Below are 1830 nucleotides of genomic sequence, written 5' to 3'. Positions count from 1 at the left end.
TGAGTGGAATGGAATGGATTGCAAAGGAATGGAAAGGAAATTAGTGGAGTGGAATGGAATGGAATGGAATGTACTCGAATGGAATGGAATGGAATTGACTCGAATGGAATAGAAAGGAATGGACTCGAATAGAATGGAATGGAAAGGAATGGACTCGAATGCAATGGAGTGGAATGGACTCCAATGGAATGGAAAGGAATTGACTCAATTGGAATAGAATGGAATGGAATAGACTCTAAAGGAATGGAATGGAATGGACACGAAACGTATGGAATGGAATGGGATGGAATGGAATGGACTGGAATGGAAGGGAATGGAAAGGACAGGAATGGAATGGAATGCTATGGGATGGTAAGCTTTGGATAGGAATGGACTTGAATGGAATAGAAAGGGATGGACTGGGATGAATTTAAACAGAATGGAATGGAATGGAATGGACTCCAATGGAATGGAAAGGCCACGAATTGAATGGAATTGAATGGAACAGACTCGAATGCAATAGATGGGAATTTAGTGGAATGGACTCTGATGGAAAGGAATGGAATGGAATTGAATGTAATAGAATGGAATGGAATGGAAAGGAATGTAATTTAATAGAATGGAATGGAATCAAATGGAATGGAATTTAAAGGACTTCAATGGAATGAAATGTACTCAAATTGAATGGGATGGAATGGAAACGACTTGAGTAGAATGAAATGGAATGGAATGGAATCGAATGTAACGGAATGGGATTGAATGGACTCGAATGGAATGTAATGGAATGGAATGGCATGGTCTCAAAAGGAATGGAATGCAATGGAGTTGAATGGACTCAAATGGAATGAAATGGAATTGACATGAATGGAATTGAATGGAATGGAAAGGAATGGAATTAAGTGTAATGGAATGGACACAAATGAAATGGAAAAAAATGGACTCGAATGGACTCGAATGGAATGGAATGGAATGGAATGGAAAGGAATGATTTCAAATCAAAGGACATGGAATAGACTCAAACGGAATGGGTTCGGATTGGATGGTCTCGAATGTAATAGAATGGAATGGACTCAAATGGAATGGAATGGAATAGAATGCTCTCGAATATAACAGAATGGAATTGGCTCGAATGGAATGAAATTGATTCGAGTGGAATGGAATGGTCACGAGTGGAATAGAATGCAATGGATTCGAATGGAATGGAGTGGAATGGAATGGACTCTAATGGAATGGAATGGACTCAAATGGAATATATTGGAATGGAATGGACTTGAATTCAATGGAATGGAATGGACTTGAATGAAATGAAATGGACTGGAATGGAAAGAAATGGACTCCAGTGGAATGGAATGCAATGGTATGGTCTCAAAAGGAACGGAAAGGAATGGAACGGATTCAAATGGAATAGAATGGAATGGACTCGAATCTAATGGAGTGGAATTGAATGGACTCATATGGAATGGAGTGTAATGGAATTGAGAGGAATGGAAAGGAATTTAAAGGACTCAAATGGAATGGAATGGAATTGAATGGACCCAAAAGTTATGGATAGGAAAGGAATGGAAAGGAATGGAATGGACAGGAATGGAATGGAAGGAACTCGAATGGAATGGACTTGAAAGGAATCCACTCGAGTGAAAAGGAATTGAATGGAATGGATTGAAATTGAATGGAATGGAATGGAATGGAATTGACTTCAATGGAATAGAATGGAATGGACTCGAAGGGAATGAAATAGAATGCAATGGACTCGAATGGAATAGAGTGGAATGGAACAGAATGGAAAAGAATGGAATGGAGTCCAATGGAATGATGTGGAATGGAATGGACAAGAATGGAATTGAGTGGAAT

This window comes from Homo sapiens, unplaced genomic scaffold, assembly GCF_000001405.40.
Source record: "Homo sapiens unplaced genomic scaffold, GRCh38.p14 Primary Assembly HSCHRUN_RANDOM_CTG6".
In the NCBI taxonomy this organism is placed as follows: domain Eukaryota; kingdom Metazoa; phylum Chordata; class Mammalia; order Primates; family Hominidae; genus Homo; species Homo sapiens.
The sequence above is the reverse complement of the archived record's forward strand: the minus strand, read 5'-3'. Positions refer to the sequence as shown.